This window comes from Homo sapiens, chromosome 11 (genome assembly GCF_000001405.40).
Source record: "Homo sapiens chromosome 11, GRCh38.p14 Primary Assembly".
NCBI classification, from domain to species: Eukaryota; Metazoa; Chordata; class Mammalia; order Primates; family Hominidae; genus Homo; species Homo sapiens.
This window is the reverse complement of record NC_000011.10, coordinates 6,475,322-6,495,585: the sequence shown is the minus strand read 5'-3', so window position 1 is coordinate 6,495,585 and position 20,264 is coordinate 6,475,322. Positions and strand designations below refer to the sequence as shown.

General features: G+C 46.0%; 2 protein-coding genes and 1 pseudogene across 23 annotated transcripts, besides 3 other annotated features; 2 read left to right on the top strand and 1 right to left on the bottom strand.

Annotated features, from left to right (window-relative positions):
- LOC644169 (voltage dependent anion channel 1 pseudogene) lies at positions 6,202-7,608 on the top strand (annotated as a pseudogene).
- A 3,296-nt stretch (positions 7,609-10,904) lies between these two features.
- Positions 10,905-14,085, bottom strand: TIMM10B (translocase of inner mitochondrial membrane 10B). The gene is made up of 3 exons (NM_012192.4): positions 14,031-14,085; positions 13,734-13,829; positions 10,905-13,541 (listed from the first exon to the last, which is right to left on the bottom strand). The coding sequence occupies exons 1-3, from the start codon at positions 14,067-14,069 to the stop codon at positions 13,365-13,367; spliced, it is 312 nt and encodes a 103-aa protein (NP_036324.1). The 5' UTR covers positions 14,070-14,085; the 3' UTR covers positions 10,905-13,364.
- Positions 13,463-14,662: an enhancer, noted in NCBI's record as "BRD4-independent group 4 enhancer chr11:6502154-6503353 (GRCh37/hg19 assembly coordinates)". NCBI's record gives its function as "activates an origin of replication core promoter dependent on BRD2, P300/CBP, MED14 and CDK7 cofactors, and independent of BRD4, by STARR-seq in HCT116 cells {active_cell/tissue: HCT116}" and the evidence as "EXISTENCE:reporter gene assay evidence [ECO:0000049][PMID:35650434]".
- Positions 13,977-14,026: an enhancer, noted in NCBI's record as "active region_4343". NCBI's record gives its function as "activates an Ori minimal core promoter by ATAC-STARR-seq in GM12878 lymphoblastoid cells {active_cell/tissue: GM12878}" and the evidence as "EXISTENCE:reporter gene assay evidence [ECO:0000049][PMID:35858748]".
- Positions 14,255-19,067, top strand: ARFIP2 (ARF interacting protein 2). Of its 22 annotated transcripts, none has more exons than NR_163424.2 (9): positions 14,255-14,355; positions 15,123-15,263; positions 15,518-15,614; positions 16,328-16,446; positions 16,627-16,848; positions 16,934-17,007; positions 17,388-17,545; positions 17,694-17,868; positions 18,318-19,067. NR_163424.2 is itself a non-coding variant. In NM_001370412.2 (8 exons), exons 2-8 carry the CDS (start codon positions 15,165-15,167, stop codon positions 18,471-18,473), a joined length of 978 nt encoding a protein of 325 aa, NP_001357341.1. In that variant the 5' UTR covers positions 14,255-14,355; positions 15,163-15,164; the 3' UTR covers positions 18,474-19,067. The 22 variants fall into 22 exon arrangements, 18 of the variants coding, with proteins under 18 accessions (NP_001357341.1, NP_001357335.1, NP_001357340.1 ...); NR_164826.2 differs by having other exon boundaries at positions 15,407-15,614; NR_163423.2 differs by lacking the exon at positions 16,934-17,007 and having other exon boundaries at positions 15,163-15,263; positions 16,627-16,727.
- Positions 14,507-14,626: an enhancer, noted in NCBI's record as "active region_4342". NCBI's record gives its function as "activates an Ori minimal core promoter by ATAC-STARR-seq in GM12878 lymphoblastoid cells {active_cell/tissue: GM12878}" and the evidence as "EXISTENCE:reporter gene assay evidence [ECO:0000049][PMID:35858748]".
- Positions 19,068-20,264: the final 1,197 nt, after the last annotated feature.

Genomic DNA, 20,264 nt, shown 5'->3' with positions numbered 1-20,264 from the left:
GATTACAGGCGCGAGCTATTATGCCCGGCTGTGATGGTTAATTTTATTTGTCAATTTGACGGAGCTAAGGGATGCTCAGATAGCTGGTAAAGCATTATTTCTGGGTGTGTCTTTGAGGGTATTCCTGGAAGAGATTAGTATTTGAATAGGTAGACTAAGTAAAGATCATCCTCACCAATGTGGATGGGCATTGTACAATCTGTTGCCTAAACAGAATTTAAACAGGCAGCTGGTGGACTTGCTGTTTTAGCTGAGACATTCATCTTCTGTCCATGGACATCAGTGCTCCTGGTTCTCAGGCCTTCAAACTTGGATTGAATTCCACCACCAGATTTCCTGGTTCTCTAGTTTGTAGACAGCAGATTGTGGGACTTCTCAGCCTATCAGTTCTGTTTCTCTGGAGAACCCCCACTAACGCGCAAGTTTTCTGGAGCTGCATAACAAGTTATTACAAACTAAGCAGCTTAAAAACAACACCTATGTAGTACCTCACAGTTCTGTAGATCAGATGTCCAGCATGACTTTACTGGATTCTTTGCTCAGGGTATCATAAGCCTGAAGTCAACATGTTGACGGGGCTACTCATCTGGTGGCTCTAGGGGGTGGGGGGTGTGGGGGGATCCACTTCCAAGCTATTATTGTTGTTGGCAAGATTCAGTTTCTTGCAGTTCTAAGACTGATGTCCCTGTTTTCTTCATGGCCATTAGCCAGGAGCCACTCTCAGGTCCTAGAGGCCACCTGTCTTCCTTGACATGTGGTTCCTCCATTTTCAAGCCAACAACAGTGCCTCTAACCCTTCTCATGCTTCACACTTTTCTGATGTCCCCTTCTGCAACCATAAAGAAAACACTCTGCTTTTAAAGGGCTCATGTGACTCATGTGACTAGATCAGGCCCACCCAGACAATCGCTCTTACAGTCAACTATGCCATATATTATAACCTTCTCACATAAGTAAAATTTGTCACATTCACAGTCCCATGGAATATGCAGCGTATACTAGGGAGATATATACTAGAGAGCAGGAAATCTCAGAGACAGTGGTCCCCAACCTTTTTGGCACCATGGACCAGTGTAGTGGAAGACAATTTTTCCACGGACCAGGGGAGGGGTTAACGGTTTCAGGATGATTCAAATGCATTACATTTATTGTGAGCTTTACTTATTTTACTATCACATTGTAATATATAATAATTATACAACTCACCATAATGTAGAATCAGTGGGAGCCCTGAGCTTGTTTTCCTGCAACTAGACAATCCGATCTGGGGGTGATGGGAGACAGTGACAGATCATCAGACATTAGATTCTCATAAGGAGCATGCCACCTAGCATGTGCTATTCACAATAGGGTTCATGCTCCTATGAGAATCTAATGCCACCAATGATCTGACAAGAGGCAGAGCTCAGGTAGTAATGTGAGCGATGGAGAGTGGCTGTAAATACAGATGAAGCTTCACCTGCTCACCCACCACTCACCTCCTGCTGTGTAGCCTGGTTCCTAACAGGCCATGACTGGTACCAGTCTGTGGCCCGGGGGTTGGGGACCCCTGATCTAAAACTTCTACCTACCACACAAATGCTGTAATAAAAAGACCCAAAATATCATGGCTTAAACATGATAGTTTATTTTTTTCTCTCACATAACCATCCAAATATAAGTACTCTGAGGCTACCACGGTAGCCTTCAGTTGTTCTGCCTTCTCCAAGGAAGTAGTCCTCATCTTTAAGGTCCAAAATAATTTACCACCATGTGTGCCACGTCCCATCCCAACTAGTGAGATGGAGGGAAAAGGAAAGGAGAAGGCATACCCTTTCTTTTAAGGGCACAGCCTGGCAACTGCACACATCAATCACATGACCAAGCCTAGCTGTAAGGAAAGCTACAAAATCTAATCTTCATTTTCAGTGGTCATATGCCAACAGAAAATTTAGAGGTTCTTTACATAAAGAAAGGAGACAATGGATACTAGAGGACCACTAGTGGTTTACACAACTAGTTGAACAGTAGAAGAGTGAACACTTCTTCAAGATGCTCTCAAGGCTTACTCTCTCAATTCTCTGCTCAAATGTCACCTTATTAGTGAGTTCTTCCCTAACTGCCCAACAGAAAATAGCAACTCTCTCCCCAACATCCTTATCCTCTTTACTTGCATTACTTCTCTCCACAGCACTTATTACCACTTCATATAAATACTTATTTATTTCCTATTTCCCCTGACTAGAAATATAAGCTCCATGGTAGCAGAGATTCTGATTGCTGCCTACTCTATCCCCAGCTCCTATACTAGGCACCATGAGTACATGATCAGAAAATATTCATGGAAAAAAATACATAAATGTATAACAATCTTCATTTGTGAGTAAGAAGATGGGCTCTGGAATCAGACTGCCTGGATTGAAATCCTAACTTCATCACTTACTAGTCATGGGATATTTTACCTCAGTTTCACTTTTTGAAAATGAAGATAATAATGTCTACCTTATAGTATTGTGAGGATTAAGTGAATTAATGCACACAAAATGCTTTAGAATAGAGCCTGGTAAGTAGTAGACATTTGATATAATTGTTAAGTGTTTAGTTGTTATTAATTTTGACATAACGATGAACAAGACAAAGGATTCAGTGAGGGCATGAATAAAGAGCATGGACAACTCTTTCATAAAAGGGCAAGGAACGGTACCTGAGTCACAATAGTCCTTAAAGTTTAAGGCCTTGAAACAAGAAAAAGGTGGGTGCGGTGGCTCATTCCTGTAATCCCAAAACTTTGGGAGACTGAGGTGGAAGGATCACTTGAGCCCACGAGGTTAAGGCTGCAGTGAGCCGTGTTCATACCACCACACTCCAGCCTGGGCAACAGAGCAAAACCCTGTCTCAAAAAACAAAAACAACAAAAAAACACAATCAAAGCTCTTCAGACAAAGACAGAAAGGAATTCTGTTCAGCAAGCTCTGCTGAACCCTCAACACTGCCTAAAACTCTGTTTCTTTTGTCAGTTCACTCTTCCATTCCGGGCAATCAGTATTTCAAACCTCTTGTACTCTCTCATCTTCCATTTCCTTCTGCTTTATTCTCAGATGATGACTTTACCTTCTATTTGAAAAAAAAATGAGATGCTGTATTATCAATCAGCATTCTCCAGAGAAGCAGAATCAATAAGATATATATATTCATATAAAGACATATATTTTAAGAAATTGGCTAACACATGTGTGGGAGCTGGTAAATCCAAAATCTGTAGGGCAGGCTGGCATGATGGAAACTCATGCAGAAGTTAATGATGCAGTCTTATTTTTTCCTCTTTTTTAAATTTTTATTTTTTTAGAGACAAAACCTCACTCTGTTGCCCAGGCTGGAGTACAGATCATAGCTCACTGCAACCTTGAACTCCTGAACTCAAGCAATCTTTCCATCTTGGCCTCCCAAAGCATTCGGATTACAGGTGTGAACCACTGCACCTGGCCCGATGCTGCAGTCTTGAGGCAGAATTTCTTCTTCTCTGAGAAACCTCAGTTTTACTCTGAAGGCTTTCAACAGACCCACATTATCAAGAGTAATCTCCTTTATTTAAAGTCAACTAAGTGTACATGTTACCCATACCTATAAAAATGCCTTCACAGTAACACCCAAATTAGGGTTTGATTAAATAACTGGGTACTATAGCCTAGCCAAGTTGACACACAAAACTAACCATCACATGCTATTTAAAAGGAATTCTCTCAATCTCCAAATGCTAAATTTTAAAATCATTTAGATCTGCTCTTATCCATTCCTCCCTCCTTACTGTTACCAATTAGAGATGCTCTTTCTCTCTCTAAAGGCAAGTTCTATACCTTTGCCCTGGGACTATTCTTTCTTGCCTCCTTTCACTCAACAAATATTTATTGAGTATCAACTGCATCAGGCACTGTTTTCAGTGTTTGGTTATATCAGTGTACAAAACAGAAACAGTGACAGAAATTCCTGAGTTATGGACCTTACATTCGAGTGGGAGGGACAGATAATAAAGAATAAAATGACACTTTGGGAGGCTGAGGCGGGCGGATCACGAGGTCAGGAGATCGAGACCATCCTGGCTAACACAGTGAAACCCCGTCTCTACTAAAAATACAAAAAACTAGCCGGCAGTGGTAGTGGGCGCCTGTAGTCCCAGCTACTTGGGAGGCTGAGGCAGGAGAATCGCTTGAACCTGGGAGGTGGAGGTTGTAGTGAGCCGAGATCATGCCACTGCACTCCAGTCTGGGCAACAGAGCGAGACTTCATCTCAAAAAAAAAAAAAAAAGAATAAAATGAATAAACTACATAGCATGTGAGAAGTGATACGTGTTATGGAAAAAAACAAAGCAAAGAGAATCAGGAATGTCTAAGGGAGCATGGGTTACCATTTTAAACACGATAATCAGAGTAAGCCTGAATAAAAAGGTGACATCTGACATCTGAGCAAGGACTTGAAGGAAAGGAGGACAGACCTTCTCCCTATCTTTTGTCTGGTTTATTTTATTATTTTGAGACAGGGTCTTGCTCTGTCACCCAGGCTGGAGGGCAGTGAGGTGATCATGGCTCACTGCAGTCTTGATCTCCCGAGATCAAGCAATCCTCACACCTCAGCCTCCCAAGTAGCTGGGACTACAGGCATGTGCCACCACGCCCAGCATATTTTGGTTTTCGTTTTTTTTTTTTTGTAGATATGGGGTCTCACTATGTTCCCCAGGCTGGTCTCGAACTCCTGGGCTCAAGCAATCCTCCCGCCTTGGCCTCCCAAAGCGCTGGGATTATAGGTGTGAGTCACCATGCCAGGCCTGTCTGGTTAATTTTAATTCATCCTTTGGGTCTCAGCTTCAAAATCACTTCCAGTGAAGCTCTCCTTCATCCCTCAAACAGAAAAAGTTTGCACTTCTGTATGTTTCCATTACAAGATGCATTTCTTCTTTATAACATTCATCACAGTTGTGATTACTGGTCCTATATTAACCTTCACGTAACTACGTTAAGTTTCAAGAGAACACGGATTGAACGTTCTCGTTCAGCTCTGTATCTGCAGGGCTTAAGCTAAAATTGGTAAAAGCAGTCACTCAAATATCTGTGGAATATGTGAATATATAGATGAATGTGGGGCATACCCAGAAAAGGAAAAACAGAATCTCTATTACATGTAACTAAGCTAATTCCTAACTAATCAAAAGGGGTCTAGACTCAAGACAAAAAGCTATTAGGAAGCACTCTGTTGAGCCCCTGTGTCTCCGTGCTGGAGCTGCAGGGACTCCTTTTTTAAAAATTAAATTAAAAAAATTTTTTAAGTGTAACAACAACAAAAGCTGTTAGGAGACTGCTGCTGTAATCTGTGTAAGAGCTGATAAAATTTTAAGGGGCCGGGCGCAGTGGCTCACACCTGCAATCCCAGCACTTTGGGAAGCTGAGGCGGTTGGATAACCTGAGGTCAGGAGTTTGAGACCAGCCCGACCAACAAGGTGAAACCCCATCTCTACTAAAAATACAAAAATTAGCTAGGTGTGGTGATGGGCACCTGTAATCCCAGCTGCTTGGGAGGCATCAGGCAGGAGACTCGCCGAGGAGAGGTGGAGGTTGCAGTGAGCAGAGATTGCATCATTGCACACCAGCCTGGGCAGAGCGAGACTCCATCTTAAAAAAAAAAAATAAAGCTGATAAAAGTTTGGTTAAGGTAATAACAATGAAGATGGAGAGAAGGAAAATGGTTTAAGAGATATTTAAGCAGAACTATAGGACTTAGAAATTAGGTGGAAACTAGAATGGCAGAGTGATTTGCTCCAGACGGGGCCTTTTAGATGTTGACTGATCTGTGACTATTAAGGGTAGAAGATAACACCTACTGAGATTTTGGGTGAAAAACATCTTTAAATCATTGGAAAAACGTCAAAGGTTAGATGTGCAGGTTCACTTCTGTCTCTTCTGATAAAAAAGCCTTTCTCTTAGTTAATAGCAAATTGAGCTGGGAGGAGATTCAAAGATGCTCATTCAACAAATATTTGTTGAGCACACATTATATGCCAAGCACTGTGATAAGGATACAATGGTGAGCAATACAGACATGGACTCTGACTTTATGAGGTATATAATGAAACACCATTAAAAGCACTACACACCGGCTGCTTGCTTTGCTCCATGCCTCCCTGATGAAGCCCCCATCATAGCTGCCGCCAAGCCTGCCACCACCACCTCTGAGCAGAAGATGGCTGTGCCACCCAAGTATGCCAATCTTGGCAAATCTGCCAGGAATGTCTTCAACAAGGGCTACGGATATGGCCTAATAAACCTTTTGAAAACAAAATCTGAGAATGCATTGGAATTTGAAAGCTTAGGCTCAGCCAACACTGAAATCACCAAAGTGACAGGCAGTCATGGAGACCAAGTACAGATGGACTGAGTACGGCCTGATGTTTATGAAGTGAAACACACAACACACCAGGACTGAGATTACTGTGGAAGATCATCTTGCAAGTGGACTGAAGCTGACCCTCAATTCACCCTTGTCACCTAATACTGGGGGAAAAATGCTAAAATCAACACCAGGTACAAGCAGGAGCACATCAACTTGGGCTGTAACCTGGATTTTGACATCACTGGACCTTCCATCTGGGGCGCTCTGGTGCTGGGTTACAAGGGTTGACTGGCTGGCTACCAGATAAATTTTGAGACTGCAAAATCCTGAGTGACCCAGAGCAACTCTGCAGTTGGTTACAAGTCTGATGAATTCCAACTTCACACTAACGTAAATAATGGGACAGTTTGGTGGCTCCATTTACCAGAAGGTGAGTAAGAAGTTGGAGACCACTGTCAATTTCACCTGGACAGCAGGAAACAGTAACACTAATACGGTTTGTCTGTGTCCCCACCCAAATCTAATCTTGAATTGTAGCTCCCATAATTCCCACGTGTGTGGGACTGACCTGGTGGGAGATAATTGAATCATGGGGGCAGTTTCCCCATACTGTTCTCATGGTAGTGAATGTCTCACGGGATCTGATGGTTTTATAAGGGGAAACTCCTTTCACTTGGCTTTCATTTTCTCTCCCGCCTGCCACCATGTAAGATGTGGCTTTCGCCTTCCCCCACAATGGTGAGGCCTCTCCAGCCACGTGGAACTGTGTGAGCCCATTAAACCTTTTCCTTTATAAATTACCCAGTCCCAAGGTGTATCTTTACTAGCAGTGTGAAAACAGACTAATACAAACACTCACTTTGGAATACCCAAGTATCTGATCAACCCTGACACCTGCTTCTTGGCTAAGTGAACAACTCTAGCCTAACAGGTTTAGAATACACTGAGACCCTAAAGCCAGGTATCAAAATGACACTGTCAGCTCTCCTGGATGGCAAGAATAACAATGCCAGTGGTTACACGCTAGGTCTGGAACTGAAATTTTGAGCATAAATACTGTACAATTGTTTACTTTTACATTATTTTGCAGCACAGCTACCTTCAGAATTTAGTGTATCTTCTACTGTATGTCTGGGATGCAAGCATTGCTAAATGTTAGACTTACAGGCTAAATATGTTAATTTCCAGGCTAAAGATAATTCAGCTTTAAAGTGTTACTCTTTCAGAGGTAGAGAAGAAACCCAATTCCAAAAAAGGTCCTTTCAGCTATAGACTTGGAGGAGGAACTTGGTGGCCCCTCTAGAGAAGCCAGGTTTCTTTTTTATCTAGAAATGACTGCACATGGAAGCTGATAATATGTAGGCATTTTGTAAATTCATATTGAGTAAATGAATGAAATTATGACTTCCTGAGAATTGAACCTTGGTTTCCTAACCCTAATTAATGAGAGGCTTGTTGCTTGATGGTGTGTGCAAACTCACTTGAAAGGGACTCTTTTAGACAGATCTTCATGACCTGTTTCCACCCCAGTTAATCATCACCTATTTTACACCAAAAGGTCTGCAGGGTGTGGTAACTGTTTCTTTTCTGCCATTCTGGGGTGGAGAGGGTGGATATGATGAAGCCAATAATTCAGGACTTAATTCCTTCTCATGCTGTGGTTTTGTGCCCCCCCCACCAGAATATGAAATAGCTTCCAGGAGTTCTGGATATAAGCTTGGAAGAATCACATGGTGACAACACTCAGAATCTAAATTGGACTTCCGTTGTATTCTCACCACTCAATTTATTTTTTAGCAGTTTAATGGGTGTATTTTAGAGCCTTCCATTTTGTGTGAATTTAGATCCTCCCCTTCAAATGCTGTAATTAACATCATTCAAAGTAAAACTTGAAAAATATATTGAAAAAAGTGCGATACACCAAAAGCATGAGGAATTATGGGAGCTGGAGTCTGGGGAAGAGTTCTTTGAGGAAATAGTAACTAGGATCTCAAGAATGAGAAGTAGATAAAGGGGGAAAGCATTGTAAGCCAGGAAACAGCACATACAAAGGCCTTGAGATGAAACAGTACATGACAATTTAGAGAAAGTGAAAGAAGGCCAGTGTGGCCAGAGCACAGAGGGAAAGAGTGAAGTGTGATTTGAATAAATTCAGCAAATAGTATTGACAGTCCATTGTTTGATAGTTACTGATAAGATAAAGCTGGAAGTAGTCACAGGCTGGATCATGCAGGGCCTTGTAGGTCATATTTAGAATTTCAGTTTTTATCCTAAGAATGGGAAGCTCTTGCAAAGTTTAAGCATTAGTTTGCATTTTATGGCTTATGAGTGAACAACAGATTGAAGGGATACAAGAGTGGGTATAGGAAGCAGCAGCAACTGCAGTAATCCTGGTGGGAGATTATGGTGAAGGTGGAGAGAGAGGCAGTGAGAATCAAGGGATATTTAGAAATGTAAACTGATAAGATCTGGCAATTGAGTGATAGAAAAAGGCAAATGCCTTCTAGCTTCTCCAACTGGATGAGTACCAGGCATAGGATAGTTTATTAGGAAACATGTTGAGTTTGGGATGTTTTTGAGATACTTAAGTGGAGATGTCAAATAGCTTGGAGGAGATCTGGAAGTCATCAGTAACTAAAGTTCAGAGTGGGGATGAAACTGTCCTAGGAAAATTAGAGTGAGAAGAACAGAACCGAGAGAAACTTTCAGATTTAAAGGCTGGGAGGAGGATGAGCCTGCAAAGGAGGCTAAGCAGCTGTGGTCAAAGATCAAAGAGGTAGTAGTAAAACCATGAAAGTAGAATCAGACGCCAATGGAAGAGTATCAATGATAAGAAACTAGAAAATTATACCAAATGCTACTGAGAAGTGAGGTAGTGAGGACTGGGAAATAACCACCGGATTGAAGGATAGGAAGGTGATCACCAAGGTGACCTTGGCAAGAACCATTTCAACAGAATGATGGTTGCAGAAGTCAAAATGGACTCGGTTGAGGAATGAAAATGGGAAATGACTTGTAAAATGGAGAGGCCCAAACTATCCAACTGTTTTGAGAAGTTTAACTGTAAAGTAGAAAAGATAGAAGTGTAACTGGAGGGGAAATGAGGTATGAAGTGGTTTATTAACAGGAGAATCTTTAGCATGTTTAAACACTGATGAGAATAATTCAGTAAAGTGGAAGTCAAAGATCCTCCAAGATGGAAGGACTAAGATTCCGAGCACAGAATAGGCACTGGCTTTAGACAGATGTATGCTTGCCTTGTTTAGACAAAAGAGAAAGAATGATGCATATGTGTGGGTAAATAAGTTGTAGGATGTTGAGAGAATGACCGATAGCTTCTACTTTTGTCTATGATGTAAGAAATAGTTACTTGCATAAAGTGAAGATAATGGTGCGGGGGAGTGATAAGAGATTTAAGAATGTTGGTTTGAAATAGTCATTGCAGGGAAAAGTTAAAATGACTAGAAAAATCTAGTAGGACTATGGGGCTGAGACTACATTTGAAGCTGATAACCATGGATTCATAGTGATATAAATCTGCTCCACAGTTGTTTCCTGGGGTGGCATTTAGCTGTCCAAATGCAGGTACAGACAAGTATCACTTTATTTAAGGGTTCAAAAAGAGATGAAAGGCAAGGAAATTCAGCCTATTGCACGAAAACCACTAGTTTAAGCTATACAGGAATCTAAAGAAGGAAGGGACTAATGGAAAGCAGAAGCATTGGCTGCAGTGAAATCAGAGAATGATAGAGGGAATAGTTCAATAAACCAAGTGGAAGGAATATGGTCAATAAATAAGATGCAAGTATTTTGAAGATGGAGCAATTTGAGGTGATGATAATGGCCAAGATATGACAAACGGAGTGAGTGGCCAAGACAGAGTGGAAATCATCAGAGATTGGGCCAAATAACTAGGAGACAAAACACCAAATGAATTGTCTATGTAAATGTTAAAATATCAAGGAGTGGACAGGAAGACCAAGGGCTAGCTATTTAAAGTAGCAGGAGAGTAGTAGTAAATGAGAGTGGTAGACAAGTAATCAGAGGGTTGTATGGATGAACAGCCTCAAAAGAATGAGGCTTTGCAAAGGAGTGGGCAGTTCTGAAGCCACAATGGCAGGAACAACAAAGTATCTCCAACGTTTACATTTATGATAACATGATAAAGCTTGTCAACATTTATTCTTTAGTGTTGTGCTTGGAACATCACATTGCTCCGATTATGCCAATGGCTATCACTTTATGGTAAAACCTGAGGAAGACCAGATTATGGAAGGTAAAGTGGTAGGAATAAGGTTTTTCTCCTGAACACTGAACATATTTATAAACAGGAAAGAACCAGGACAAGAGATTGAAATTTTAAGAAAGGGATTAAGAGATGGGTCAGACTGAGGGACATTTGTTTTTTCATGCCTAGAGGCAGGTTAAGTACAGATAGAAGCTCTCAAAGTTCAAAGAGCAAAGGCTTTAGAATCAGACAGATCTATGCTCCTAGCTCTTCTTTAGCAATTACTATTGTGTGACATGGAAGGACGGGAAGCACAGATAATTCACAATGGAAGTTTATTGCAAGGATACACACAAATGTTGATGTGGAAGGGTCCTCCCACCAGCAGCACAGTATCACAGGTCCCATCCTCCTATCTTCTGGAAGTTAAGAAGTTCAAACCTGTTTTACTTGCATTTATATTTCCCAAGGACAGAGTGCCACCCTGTGGGTAAGGTCCTAGTCAGCAACTTTTACCTTCCTAACAAACTTTTCTGTTCAAGAGATAGCAGCTAAAGGGGGCAAAAAACATGATTGGAACCACTTTTCTCAATAAGAAACTTTGTATAGGCCGGCCGTGGTGGCTCACACCTGTAATCCCAGCACTTTTGGAGGCCGAGGCGGGCGGATCACAAGGTCAGGAGTTCAAGACCAGCCTGACCAATACAGTGAAACCCCGTCTCTACTTAAAATACAAAAACAAAATTAGCTGGGCGTGGTGGCGCATGCCTGTAATCCCAGCTACTCGAGAGGCTGAGGCAGGAGAACTGCTTGAACCCGGGTGGCGGAGGTTGCAGTGAGCCTAGATCGCTCCACTGCACTCCAGCCTGGGTGACAGAGCGAGACTCTGTCTCAAAAAAAAAAAAAAGAAGCTGTGTATAAATGTTTGCACGAAATCTGCAGAATGTGCCTTCTGGCACATTCTGGATTCTTGCTTCCTCATCTGTTAAGTGAGGTTAATACCTCTTACTTATAGTTGTTGTAAAGATTAATATAAAGCATGACATCTACCAAAATCAGAACCTACACAAAGTGTGTGCTCAATAAATACTATCTTAAGAGGCAGCCTGCTGTGTAAAATGAACATGGACTTTAAAGTCAGATCTGCACTTTAATACCGGGTCTGCTACTTGAGAATTTCAATTTTCTGCTCTGTAGATAGGATAGAACATCTGCTTTGTAGGTAGTTGTAAGAAGTTTTAAAATTATTACTGTGGAAACCAATGTCTAAGAGCTTCAATTTCTCTAAAAAAGGAAACAGGGTCACCTGATGAGGGTGGGGTATGGGATTAAGGACAGCAGTAGAGGTGTAAAATAACTGCCATGGTAATTAGAGAAGGAAATGGACCAGGAACCCATAAAGGTGTGTGTTGGTGTGACTGCGTGTTGGTGTGAGGACTTGGCTGAGGTTGGAGGCCTTGAATATTTAGTGGCATTCATTACACAACTGTTTTTCTCTAGCAGTTTGAATGAAGGAATGGAAAAGACAGAATAAGTGGAATGATACAAAAAGATGGCCAATGGTGGCAAGAAAATGGGGTGATGGAATGATATGCTATCCAGGCTGCTGAATACAGAAGTAAATTACACAAAGTTGGGGGGCGGGGGAGGCAATAATGAGAAAAGAATGGAGAGGCTGGAATTAGAAATCACAGAATGTACTCAATGGGACCAATGTGGGGCAGATGATAGAAAGCTGGATTTAGGAGTTTCTAGACGAGCAGTGAAACATTAACGTAGCATTAAAGAAGTCCCGAAGATTTAGTTTTATCCCTTTTTATCATAACCATTGCCATCTACTTCTCCCTTCAGTTTCTCTTCCTCGGATTTGGCTGCATTGCAGAATATGGTCCCCAGCTCTCTCCCTTCCTGATTGCCCGTGAAGACAACCACACAGACCTTTGTTCAAAGGTTTTACTGCTCATCCTGAGAAGACTGTACATACTAAGAAAGTAACAACCTGGGGAAATGGCTGAAGTTCCAAAAGACTCCAGACTTCTTACAGGTTTCATCTCTCTTCTGTGGCCACTAACTTCCCAAGGAGGCAGTGCCCAAAAGCCCTGTGGTTTTTTGATCCGTTGTACTTCGATAGCTCCTCCTTTCCCTAGATCCAGCAGAACTCTAGACATGTAAGACATAGTTCACAAAACAACAGTTATGAACCAACAAATACTTGGCTCACGGTTATGAGCCACTGAAGTCAGTCAGACTTAAGGACAACTAGACAGAGCTCCCATTTTCTGTCATCTGGGCAGGAACCAATCTCCTGTTGTATAAAATGACCTTCTGGTACTTTCTGGAATCTTGCTTCCTCATCTGTTAAGTGAGGCTAATACCGCTTACTCATAGTTTTGTTGTGAAGATGAACTAAGAGCATGACATATTACCCGTTTTAAAATTGTACACACAGACCCTGCTTTAACCAGATGCCTGCAAATGCTCAGGTTTTCCTTCTACATATAGAAAACAATTTCTCAGCTGCCAGGGCTGAAGCCAGCAGATATGCACTAAACGACAGAACAACGGATTGTGCCAATAAAGTAGGCAAAGCTTCCTTGCCCAGAATATAAATCAAACTGAGTAAAAACTGGGTATATTGGCTCCAGGAAAAGGAGCAAGGACACCCAGCTTTCAGGCAACCTCGAATTCTCTCTGTTTAGGATTCACCAACCCCAAGGTCCACCGGGTCCTTCAATCTGAGGGTCCATCCAAGGCCTTCCTTCCTGGGGTTGGGTATGGCTAGCTGCCTGATGGAGAGACCCCAGGCTGTTCAGCAGCAACGCCTGGCACAGCCGAGGCAGCCTCGTAGTCTGCGATGCGGCGCTGTACCAGGGCAGGCATGAGCTGCACGTAAGCGGCCATGAGGCGGTGGTTGGAATGGATCAGCTTCCCAGCACAGCTGTGCAGACAGGCCTCCTAGAAGGAAGATAGGGTTTAAGTGGAGGATAAAGGTGCCCTGTCGGGTCCGCCTCCTTTCTTCCCCATGCCCAGCCTAGGGGTGAGGGTCGTGGGAAGGCCAGGGCCAGAGGTACGGGAAGTGGGGTGAGGAGGGAAGCAGTCTACCGCTAAACTCTTCTTGCAGCGTAACCTCCCTACACAGTTCCCCACCTCCTCAGCGTCCAGAGCTCGGTGGTGCAAGCTGGGCACACAGCGCTGGAAGCAGAGTTCTGTCATCCGATTGTAGACCAACAGGAAGTCACGCAGCTGAGAGAAAAGGGGGACCACAAACTCAGCGATAAGGGCCCCACACTTCTAGTCAAGGTCGCGCCGCCCAAAGTTTCCCAGGCCCGCGCGCCATAGCCCGAAGTTTCCAGCCCTCAAATCCCTGGCCCTGTGGGGTTCCCGCGATGTGTGCAGGAATGCGAGCTGAACGTCTGGCCTCGAAACGACTTAGTTCTCACTTACGTTTCGCAGTTGCTGTTGCTGCTGCTGCTGCCGCTCCATCACGCCACCGGCGCATGCCGTACGCCACTTCCGTTTCAGCTTCTCGGTGCCGCCCCGGAAGTAACCTCTCGCTGATCTCGAGAGCTAGCTCGAGTATCGCCCTGCCCTGGCTGCGACGTCAGCTCCGCCCTTATAATCTGCGACGTGGCCGGCTTCTTCTGCCCGGAGAGGACGTCATTTCCGCCGAGTCCCTGACCTGCTGCTAGGATCGCGACGGGAACTGGAGCCCGAGGTCCCCGCGCGGCCCGGGCCTGGCGCCCTGAGGGGAAGAGCGGCCCGGCCCGAGGTGAGAGGAACATGCTTGGGCGACGGGAAGTTGAACGCACAAACCTGTCCAGAGGGCAAGATGCCCCGAGCCCCGGGGAAGGATGAGGACACACCTGATGTCCAGGTGTATGGGGGTGGGGGCGGGGACTCACACACCTGGGAGACATAACTGACTGTGGAAGGGTCACCGATATCCTGGGAGAGAGAGGCTTTTACCAGAGACTGGGAACATACACCCACTGATCTAACTAAGGCCTGGTGGGGAGGGCCCGAGGAAGACGAGGTGTATGAGACGGAGGAGGGGAGACCCCCTGAAGGAAGGGGGAAGAAACGCTAAAGGAATGTGAAAGGCCAAGCAATGGAGAACAAACCTGAATAGGGGGGTGAAGACCTGAGCCCTGGAAAGGGTTCATCTCCTCAGCATAAACACGCCTGCATGGAGATAAGTTCTAAGAGAGCAGACTTTCCCTCTTCACTGTTGTATTTTCATTGTCACAAATAGTGCCTGACACATAGTAGGCACTCACTAAATGTCTGCTGAATGAGTGTAGAAATAATCACCAGAGTCCTGGTGAGGTTGGGGGCTTGTGAGAAGACACCGTGCTTTGGTGTGCCTGTTTCAAATGTGCGTTTTGGAGGGGAGAAATACATATATCTGAAGAAAGGAATGATGGCCAAACGCTGGGACACTCAAACCCTGGGACAGCCTTTAAAGAAATGACAGAGGAGGCCTCCTTCTTCTAGAGTGCTGGCCAGTGTCCAGAACTTCTGTGTTGGGCTTTGCAGGGTGCTGGGGTGGAGAGTTTTACTCCAATACCTTTCCTAGCCATGACGGACGGGATCCTAGGGAAGGCAGCCACAATGGAGATCCCTATCCACGGGAACGGCGAAGCCAGGCAGCTTCCTGAAGATGATGGGCTGGAGCAGGTGCTTCTGTTTGATTCTTCTAATTGTTTCAATTTAGGAATCCAATTTATAAATCCTAGGTTCTCACCCTCCATTCCAGTAGCCTTCCCCTGACTTATCTGACTCCCTTCATTCTTTTTACGTATCATTTTGATTCTGTGCAGACTTCCCTTGTGTACTATCTTTATGATGCTTGAATCCAAACTTGTTCCCACCTCCAAAATGCTTCTGCAGCCCCTATGTTCCTGAAGCAACCCCTCTTCTCTGGCCTATAGGACCTCCAGCAGGTGATGGTGTCAGGACCCAACCTCAATGAAACCAGCATTGTGTCTGGTGGCTATGGGGGCTCTGGTGATGGACTCATCCCCACAGGTATGAATGTTCAGAAACAGGAATCTTGGGTGGAGGAGGGGACAGGAATGGTTTGGGGAAGCATAGGATATGTCTAGGAAAGCTTGAATTATGTCTGGAGATCTTGGGAACTTCTGCTTGTAGGAACCTCATGGACTCTCCTCAGCCCAAAAGCAACTCCCAGCGTTGTCCATCCATTTCCCTTTTGCCACTTAGCCCCTGAAATGGCTCATTTGTCCTTTCCCTGCCACCACCTGAGTCAAGTTAAGACCTGCTTCACAGGAATGCCCCCCCTCTACAGCTTGAGGCTGAGTTGGAACTTTGTGAAGCTTCTCAGAATTTTTAGATTCTAAAGTTTAGAGGAACAAACAGCCCTGAATCTCACACTAAGATTCCACATGGGAATGCAACCAGGTTTCTTGTTATCATGACCCACCATCCTTGACTCCTGCTGCCCCCAAACTCAGTGTATTTTCTTCTGTTTCCTCTGCCCCTGTACACCAACAACTCCCTGCAAACCCCTCCTCTAACCCCCAAGGAGGCCATATGTATATCAGGATTTGGTTCTCACCGCGCAAAGTCCGAGTTCCTCCTAGTAAGCAGGAGCATCCAGTTGTCTCTAGCATCTCCTTCAGGGAAGTCAATTTCATGTGCTCGAAGAGAAGTATGGGTGGGGCCACAGAGGTGTCTGGTGTATCTGAGAGAGGCTGGTGTCAGAGAACTTGATCCTTTAGGGTCTGGCCGCCATCCATCTCACAGCACCACTCCTTCTGGCCCTGGAGATGAGGTGGCTCGGGGCATTGCTGGAGAAAAGTTTGACATCGTCAAGAAATGGGGCATCAACACCTATAAGGTAGGATTTAAGCACCTCTCCCTTCCCCAAAACTCCTTATGGGTACCTTTTTCCCTTTTCTTCGTGATCGTAATATCCCATCTGTGGCTGAGAGTAGGAGCCTGGGGGGTGCTGGGGTAGATACCTGTTGTGTGGGGAGGCTGTTAGGGTCTCTGATTTATTCCCCCATTTCCCAATCAGTGCACAAAGCAACTGTTATCAGAACGATTTGGTCGAGGCTCACGGACTGTGGACCTGGAGCTAGAGCTGCAGATTGAGTTGCTGCGTGAGACGAAGCGCAAGTATGAGAGTGTCCTGCAGCTGGGCCGGGCACTGACAGCCCACCTCTACAGCCTGCTGCAGACCCAGCATGCACTGGGTGATGCCTTTGCTGACCTCAGCCAGAAGTCCCCAGAGCTTCAGGTGCCTCACCCAGACCAAAGAGGGTGGGGGAACTGGGCATGGGCCCTCCCAGGCAGTCATTCCTCATCCTCCCTCCCTCCTGCAGCCCACAGGGAGAACCCCTTCAGGGTGGGCCCAGCCCTACCCCCAGCAGCACTCACCTGTGGAGGCAGCCTAAGGGTTTGTACAGAGGTCCAGAAGTTGGAGGGGGTGGGGGAGGGGGCACACTAGGTGCCTCACAAATAACCCCTCTCTGCACTGGGGAGAATGCCTTCGTGCTCAGCCTAATCAGAGCCCCTCCCCTGCTTGCCACACTAGCTCTCAGACTGTTCCAGTCTTGTGAACTTACCCAAGAATGCCCACCACCCACATTCCTACCCCAGGTATCCCCAGGGTGATCCCACTAACTTTCCGGCTAAGAGAGCCTTGCTGGAGGCAGTCCTTGGTTGTTCCAGTTTTGCTGGCTGTGTCCTCCCCGGGGAGGAGGGGAATGAAGGGCTCTACAGCTTCAGTCAGGTAGGGAGTGTTATTCAAGGTCTGTTCCTCCCTTCTGCCCTCAGGAGGAATTTGGCTACAATGCAGAGACACAGAAACTACTATGCAAGAATGGGGAAACGCTGCTAGGAGCCGTGAACTTCTTTGTCTCTAGCATCAACACATTGGTCACCAAGACCATGGAAGACACGCTCATGACTGTGAAACAGTATGAGGCTGCCAGGTGTGGGCACTGGCAGGGCTTAGGGTTTGGGGAGTTGGCTGGTATGGGTGGAAATTTGGGCATTAGGGGCATAAGAATTCAGGAAGGAAAGGAGAGTATGTGTTGAGGATAAAGGAGTGGAGACCAGCCTTTATCACCCCCTCCCCAGGCTGGAATATGATGCCTACCGAACAGACTTAGAGGAGCTGAGTCTAGGCCCCCGGGATGCAGGGACACGTGGTCGACTTGAGAGTGCCCAGGCCACTTTCCAGGCCCATCGGGACAAGTATGAGAAGCTGCGGGGAGATGTGGCCATCAAGCTCAAGTTCCTGGAAGAAAACAAGGTGCCAACCCCACCCCCTTGACCCTAGCCCACCTTTCCATCTGTAACACTAACCTTCCCCTCAGACCCTCCCCATTATTGAATGAGGAAATGCAGCCTAGCTGGGGAGTAGAGTGTTCACCCCCTCAACCCCTGGGCCTTTCCAGATCACCCTCCCTCCAATTCCTGGCCCTTTCCTGTTGGAGGATTTGGCTGCTGGTCCCAGGAACATAACTGGGAAAAATCACCCCCTGAGCTGGGGTACAAAAACCCTAGGCCCACAAATCCAGTGAGGTTTCTTCCATCATACTGACCCTTCTCCTTTGACTCCCTGGGTAGAGTTCAGCCCCTACCCCAAAAGCACCATCAGAGCAGAGTCCTTGTGCCCCTGGTCTGTGCCTGGGCTCAGGCTCATAGACCCTCAAGAAGGGCGCCTGAGTCCAGCCTTAGCTGACCCTGCTGGACCCCCAGATCAAGGTGATGCACAAGCAGCTGCTGCTCTTCCACAATGCTGTGTCCGCCTACTTTGCTGGGAACCAGAAACAGCTGGAGCAGACCCTGCAGCAGTTCAACATCAAGCTGCGGCCTCCAGGAGCTGAGAAACCCTCCTGGCTAGAGGAGCAGTGAGCTGCTCCCAGCCCAACTTGGCTATCAAGAAAGACATTGGGAAGGGCAGCCCCAGGGTGTGGGAGATTGGACATGGTACATCCTTTGTCACTTGCCCTCTGGCTTGGGCTCCTTTTTCTGGCTGGGGCCTGACACCAGTTTTGCCCACATTGCTATGGTGGGAAGAGGGCCTGGAGGCCCAGAAGTTGCTGCCCTGTCTATCTTCCTGGCCACAGGGCTTCATTCCCAGATCTTTTCCTTCCACTTCACAGCCAACGGCTATGACAAAACCACTCCCTGGCCAATGGCATCACTCTTCAGGCTGGGGTGTGCTCCCTGACCAATGACAGAGCCTGAAAATGCCCTGTCAGCCAATGGCAGCTCTTCTCGGACTCCCCTGGGCCAATGATGTTGCGTCTAATACCCTTTGTCTCTCCTCTATGCGTGCCCATTGCAGAGAAGGGGACTGGGACCAAAGGGGTGGGGATAATGGGGAGCCCCATTGCTGGCCTTGCATCTGAATAGGCCTACCCTCACCCACCCACCCAGTTTAATTGTGCTTAGAGCCCAAGAAGATTGGGATCTAGCACTAGGAATAAACCTTTCATAAAAGCAGGCCCAGCGAGGTCAATTTGTCGGGGACTCTAGGAGGGTGGCCTGGGTGGAGACAAGCTCAGTCTAATCAAACACCAGAACCCTATCAAGTCAAAAGAGCTGGGGCCAGGCAGCTGAAGTCACAGGTTTCAGAGATGGTTTGAAGGCCCAGTCTTCTCTCCCAGCCTCAGTTGGAGCCAAAGCTTTGTCCTTTAGCCAGCACCAAGATAGCTATGGATCTTAAGAGCACCAGATCCAGAGGGGGTTGGGTTTGCTGACCTTCATCATGCATTCATTCATACAGCAAATATTTACTGAGTGCTTTCATTTGCCAGGGACTGCGTTAGGCCCTGGGGAAACATCAGTGAATAAAACACGGTCCCTGCCCACAGTGCTTAGGGCCTACTGAGGGAAAGAAGTAACCAGGCAACTACAAAACAGTGATAAGTATTAGGATACAGAAGTACAGAGGGCGCTGTGGGAGCACAAAGGAGGGGCATCTGGCATGGACTGGGGTGGAAATGGGGATGTCAGTTTGAAAGCTGAGACCTGGCCAGGTGCGGTGGCTCACTCCTGTAATCCCAGCACTTTGGGAGGCCGAGGCGGGCGGATCACCAGGTCAGGAGATCAAGACCATCCTGGCTAACACGGTGAAAACCCATCTCTACTAAAAATGCAAGAAAATTAGCCCGGCACGGTGGCTGGCGCCTGTAGTCCTGTAGTCCCAGCTACTCGGGAGGCTGAGGCAGGAGAATGGTGTGAACCCGGGAGGCGGAGCTTGCAGTGGAGCCAAGATTGCGCCACTGCACTCCAGCCTGGGCAACAGAGCGGGACTCCATCTCAAAAAAAAAAAAAAAAAAGCTGAGACCTGAAGGGTGAGTAGATGACAAACAGGCAGGGTAAAGGGAAGAGCATCCCAGGCAGAGAGGCTAGCATATAATGAAGGCTCTGAGTAGGAACTGGGAGGAATTGCTTGGAATGAAAAATGAAGAGGGAGTGGCTAGATGAAGACTGCAGGCTGGTTAAGGACTTTTGCCCTCTGGAGAAGGAGCTGAGAAGTGTTTTAAGCAGAAATTTGACTGCATGGGAGAAGTATAGAGTTGAGAAAAGTAGTCCTCTGAGGCTTAAGATAGTGTCATCTAGACTCCAGTTCCCTCATCTTGGGTAGCATAGTAGCCCCAGCCCAAAACTGCAAGCATGATCCCCGTCTGGGTTTCC

What these genes read in the sequence shown, in the direction of transcription:
- TIMM10B (NM_012192.4), bottom strand. Translation starts at nt 14,069, where the DNA reads ATGGAGCGGCAGCAGCAGCAGCAACAGCAACTGCGAAAC. An exon ending in AGCAACAGCAACTGCGAAAC is followed by an intron (nt 13,830 to 14,030) that starts GTAAGTGAGAAC and finishes CTTTTCTCTCAG; the next exon opens with CTGCGTGACTTCCTGTTGGT. An exon ending in GAGCTCTGGACGCTGAGGAG is followed by an intron (nt 13,542 to 13,733) that starts GTGGGGAACTGT and finishes TCTTCCTTCTAG; the next exon opens with GAGGCCTGTCTGCACAGCTG.
- ARFIP2 (NM_001242854.3), top strand. Translation starts at nt 15,165, where the DNA reads ATGACGGACGGGATCCTAGGGAAGGCAGCCACAATGGAGATCCCTATC. An exon ending in AAGATGATGGGCTGGAGCAG is followed by an intron (nt 15,264 to 15,517) that starts GTGCTTCTGTTT and finishes TCTGGCCTATAG; the next exon opens with GACCTCCAGCAGGTGATGGT. An exon ending in TGATGGACTCATCCCCACAG is followed by an intron (nt 15,615 to 16,228) that starts GTATGAATGTTC and finishes CATCTCCTTCAG; the next exon opens with GGAAGTCAATTTCATGTGCT.